The sequence below is a fragment of the Homo sapiens genome, chromosome 2 (assembly GCF_000001405.40).
Source record: "Homo sapiens chromosome 2, GRCh38.p14 Primary Assembly".
In the NCBI taxonomy this organism is placed as follows: domain Eukaryota; kingdom Metazoa; phylum Chordata; class Mammalia; order Primates; family Hominidae; genus Homo; species Homo sapiens.
Window position 1 is genome coordinate 83,513,248 of NC_000002.12, and position 5,419 is coordinate 83,518,666.

At 42.3% G+C, this 5,419-nt stretch overlaps 1 annotated feature.

Moving 5' to 3' along the window:
- Window positions 3,522–4,721: an enhancer, noted in NCBI's record as "MED14-independent group 3 enhancer chr2:83743893-83745092 (GRCh37/hg19 assembly coordinates)". NCBI's record gives its function as "activates an origin of replication core promoter dependent on BRD2, BRD4, P300/CBP and CDK7 cofactors, and independent of MED14, by STARR-seq in HCT116 cells {active_cell/tissue: HCT116}" and the evidence as "EXISTENCE:reporter gene assay evidence [ECO:0000049][PMID:35650434]".

The window sequence follows — 5,419 nt, forward strand, 5'->3', positions numbered from 1 at the left end:
TTGCTTATAGCAGCTTCATTTATAATTGCCAAAACTTGGAAGCAACTAAGATGTTCTTCAATAGGTGAAAGGATAAACAGACTGTGGTACAGCCAGACAATGAAATATTATTCAGTGCTAAAAAGAGATAAAACCATGGCAGAAACTTAAATGCATGTTTCTAAGTGAAATAAGTCAATCTGAAAAGGCTACATACTGTATGATTCCAATCATATTACATTCCAGGAAAGGCAAAAATACAAAGAGAGTAAAAATATTGGTAGTTGCTAAAGGTTAGAGGCGAGGGAGGGACAAACAGGCAGAGAACAGATGATTTTTAGGGCAGTAAAACTATTCTGTGTGGTACTATAATGGTGGATCATTTCATTCATTATACATTGTTCAAACCGATAGAATGTACACCACCAAGAGTGAATTCTAATGTAAACAACGGACTGTGGCGATTTTGAGATTTCAATGTAAGCTGAATTTCAAAAAATGTACCACTCCAGTGTGGATGTTGATAATGGGGGAGGCTATGCATGTGTGGGGACAAGGAGTATTATGGGATATCTCTGTACTTTCCTCTCAATTTTGCTGTGAACCTAAAACAGCTCTGAAAGATAATGTCTTATATATAAACCAAGCCCAGACACAAAAGGACAAATATGTGATTCCACTTATATATGCGATATCTCAAACGGGCAAATTTACAGAGACGGAAAAACATTAGAAGTTACTAGGATCCAAGAGAAATGGGGGATAAAATAATATTGCCTTATGGGTACAGTTTCTGTTTGGGGTAATGAAAAATTTTGGGTAGACAGTGGTCAAAGTTGCAAAACTTTGTAAATATGATTAATGCCACTGTATTGTACATTTAAAAATGGTTAAAATGGCAAATTTTATGGTGCACATAACCACAATAAATAAAAAAAATCAAAAAGCAAGAAAAAATAATTTTAACGTACCAAACGACATTTTACTGACAAGTATTTCATAAACAGTTAAGAAGGATGAAGCCAATAATCAATGCCTAACAGCTCACTGACCTTGGAAACAGAACTCCCCACCTGCTTTACTATGCCTTTTGAAAATCTTTGCACTGTAGTCCTTTGGCCATATTTGGAGTGACATTATATGCATCACACTCTTGAAGTAGATATTACTAAAACATTCTGTGTGCTCATCCTCTACCTTGATCATTGCTGCTACTCTAGTGTTGTGTGACCAAAATGCTGAATTCACTGCATTTGTTAATCCAAAGGCAGGTGTGGAATTCTTCCTTGGCAAGGAAACATCTATGTATAGGTCTGTCTCCTGGTTAGATGGGTATTTCTGTGAAATTTGACAGGTGAAGCTCTTCACTAATAGGTTCTTTACATCCTTCCACAAACAAATACCTTTGATCCATTCTTTGTTTCAGTACACATTTAGACACTGTGCTAATGTGTTTGGAATAGGATCATTACTTAGAAATTGAGAGATAAGAATTCTAGTTTGGGCTTTGGTACAAGGTAAGTGACCTTGGTAAAAACATATGTTTCTCTTGGCCTTAATAGCCCTTTTGCTAAATGAGGGTTTGGCTTAGCTTAGTAATTGACAAACGTGTTAGCAGCAAAAAATCCTTGCACGCATATACAAACAAGTGAATCTGTTCTGTTTGACATTTCCCCATTCCCTTTCTTCACCTATGAAGCACCAGAGCAAAAGCATTGGACTCAACGGTATTTAACGCCTATACTTTCATGTAGCAATCCTCTTGAGAACTGATTGTGATTGTCTTCATTATATATTCAAACATGTATATACATACACACTAGAGATATCATTAAGAAAAAACTTCAATATAGTATTTTTTATTAAAATTGAATTCATATAAAATAAACTTAACTTTTTAAAAGTGAAAATGTAGTGGCATTTAATACATTCATGATGTTGGACAACCACCAACTCTATTTAGTTCTAAAACATTTTCATTATATTTGTTATTTTTAAATGACTTTTCCTGTACATTAAATAATATATTTTAAATAATGTAAAAAGATAGACAGTGATGGAAACCAAAATTAACTTGTATAGCAGAAGGCTAAAATTAAAATTTTGGAGCAAACGTACACGTACACACACACACACACACACACACACACACACACAAATTTAATTAATATCATCGATCCCTCATTATTATAATGGAAAATAATAATAACCCAAACTAACAACCTAATCTATTTGGATGTTCAAGTTCAAATAGCATTTCAGATATAAAAATATAGAAATATTTATAATCTAGAAATACATATTATTGCCAAGAAGCAGGACAATATTTAAAAAGCTGAGGGAAACCCTGAGTCCCCTTAACAGACTTTGGATTAATAAGATGTAACACAACCTAAATATAGTTTTATTTAGAAGCCCAACATGATTTCACAAACGTTTAAAAATAAAATAATATTAATGTATTACTTCCAAGAATGCCCCTGTAGACCTTTCCCTAAGACAGTATGACCCTTCCCATGATTAAGAAAATAGTAACATAAAGAGAGGAATACGTATAACAGTAATTTTTAGGCAAAATTATATAGAACTTTGGGGGAGGAACTGGGAATTAACCAACATGAAATCAAGAGAGATAATTAAAGATGAAAAGGTGTTCCTTGTTATGTAAATAACAATAGTCAAGCCTACATGTTTAAGGATTTTTGGAGCACTCTAAACTTTTGCTTCCTCAACTGTCTTTGGTCAGCGTATTGATCCAGAAGTTGTGTATTACAAAGCTGTACGTCTATATTGGCTCTCTTATTCTACTGATCAACATGACGCCAAAAAAAAAAACCACGATTTTTTTTAAGGTCCTCCTAGTACTATCTCTGAGTGAGGAGTAACCAATCTGCTGACAAAATATTTCCCTTTCTGAACATGGATGGTAGACACTCCTCCTTGCCAGGAGACAGAGTGTTGGAACAAGACATCAATACCATTGTGCATTATAATTTCTCCCAACTTGTTAGGATTCTGTAAATATTTCCTCATGACATTAAACGTTCTTCTATGAGATCATTTTAATGACTAAATCATCTTTTATCATACGGTTGTTACTATAATTTATTTAGTAAAACTGAGGACTTTGAACTGGTATTTCATGAAAAAAAATACCACCTTCATAGGTGGTAAATGATGACAGAACAAAACTACTTGGAATTGGCTGAAATTTAGGAAATTTAGGATGTATTTCCATGGCTTTCTGACCAAATCCCATTTTAGTTTTGTTTTTGTTTTTTTTTAATCATGTTCTGCATTAATGGTTTTAACCTGGAGGTAGTTTTCTCCCACAGGATATTTGGCAATGACTGTAGACAATTTTAGTGATCACAACTGGGGTGGGAGGTAGGGAGGGGGTGTTAACTAGAATTAAGTGAGAAGAGACCAAAGATGCTCAGCTAAACACCCTACCATGCATAGGACAGCGCCCCCTACCCACAACAAAGAATTAGCTGGCCAAAAAGTGTCACTAGGGCTGAAATTGAGAAACTCCGCTCCACATGAACCACAAATAAAAGGAAGGTAAATATTTCAGATAGTCCACTTACCACATTGTCTTCCTCATAAACACATTTTGGATTTGGGTTAAAACGACTTTAAATTACTAAAGGTGATTTACATTTGTGTGGTGTAGAGACAATTTCAATCATCTTAATACAAGAGTGTGTTGGCCCTTGCACCTGTGCTTGGTCTATTCGCCTTTTCTGAATAAGCTTCCAAGTGTGCGCCATTACATCCTCTCTCTCTCTTTGAACCAGAAATTCAGGAGACGACCCACAGACCCTCTGAAGGAAGTGGACTGCTCCTGCAGGACCCGGGAGACACCACAAATACAGTGAGTGCCCAACTGTGGAAGTGGGAAAGGGAGACCCTCCTCTCCTGAACACACGGCCCCACAGGGGAGGCTGAAGGTCTGTTTGCGGATAAGTTTCCGACCTTACCTGGAGCTGAGCCAATTTTGAGAGCTGAAATGCAGGGGTAGAGGAAGCAGCAGAAACGCCCTGGGAGCTCGCTATGTCCCCTTGCTAGGGACATTCCTTCCTGGCACCACAGAGATCCATCAGGTGGGTGATCAAAGGAGCGTGGAGTATACTTCACAGGGAGAAGGAAATCTCTAGCTGAACTTTGTAACACTTTGAACAGGGTGAGAAGTCTCCTGGCCAGAACTCGAGGGAGGGCTCAAATCTGGTGTGCAGACTCCACAGGCAGGGGAAGAACTAAGCCCTTTTCTCTGGCAGCTGGAGGTGGGTAACCCGCGGCAAGTTTTCAAGCCCATCACACCCTCGACCTGGAAACAGACTCGGAGCTATTGGTGGGGGCATGGTGGGAGTGAGACCGGCCCTTCGTTTTGTATGGGAGCTGGGTGAAGCCTGTGACTTCTGGCTTTCCCCTACTTTCCTGATAACCGGCATGACTCAGCAAAGGCAGCCATAATCCTCCTAGGCACACAACTCCAGTGACCTGGGAATCTCACCCCATCCCCCACAGCAGCTGCAGCAAGACCCCCCTAAGGAGAGTCTGAGCTCAGACATGCCTAGCTCTGCCCTTGCCAAATGGTCCTTCCTTATCCACCCTGGTAGCGGAAGACAAAGGGCATATAATCTTCGGAGTACTAGAGCCCTGCCCACCTCTAGTCCCTCTCTATACTAGCTGATGCTTTCTGGAAAGCGCCACCTCCTGGCAGGAGGCAACCACACAAAAATAAAGCATTAAAGCATAAGAACCTTCATGGAGTCCATTGCATGGGCTAGCAGCCCTCGCTCGCTCTCCGCGCCTCCTCGGCCTCGGCGTCCACTCTGGCCGCGCTTGAGGAGCCCTTCAGCCCGCCGCTGCACTGTGGAAGCCTCTCTGGGCTGGCGGAGGCCAGAGCCGGCTCCCTCTGCTTGCTGGGAGGTGTGGAGGGAGAGGCGCGGATGGGAACCCGGGCAGCGCGCGGCGCTCGCGAGCCAGCGCGAGTTCCGGGTGGGCGTAGGCTCGGCGGGCGCCGCACTCAGAGCGGCCAGCTGGCGCCCCGCCTGCCTGGGCAGTGAGGGGCTTAGCACCCGGGCCAGCAGCTGCGGAGGGTGCGCAGGGTCCCCCAACTCTGCTGGCCCGCCCGCGCAGCGCTCGAATTCTCGCCGGGCCTCAACCGCCTCCCCGCGGGGCAGGGCTCGGGACTACAATCTTTTTTTTTTTTTTCTTGAGGCGGAGTCTGGCTCTGTTGCCCAGGCTGGAGTGCAGTGGCGCAATCTCGGCTCACTGCAAGCTCCGCCTCCCGGGTTCACGCCATTCTCCTGCCTCAGCCTCCCGAGTAGCTGGGACTACAGGCGCCCGCCACCGCGCCCGGCTAATTTTTTGTATTTTTAGTAGAGACGGGGTTTCACCGTGGTCTCGATCTCCCGACCTCGTGATCCGCCCA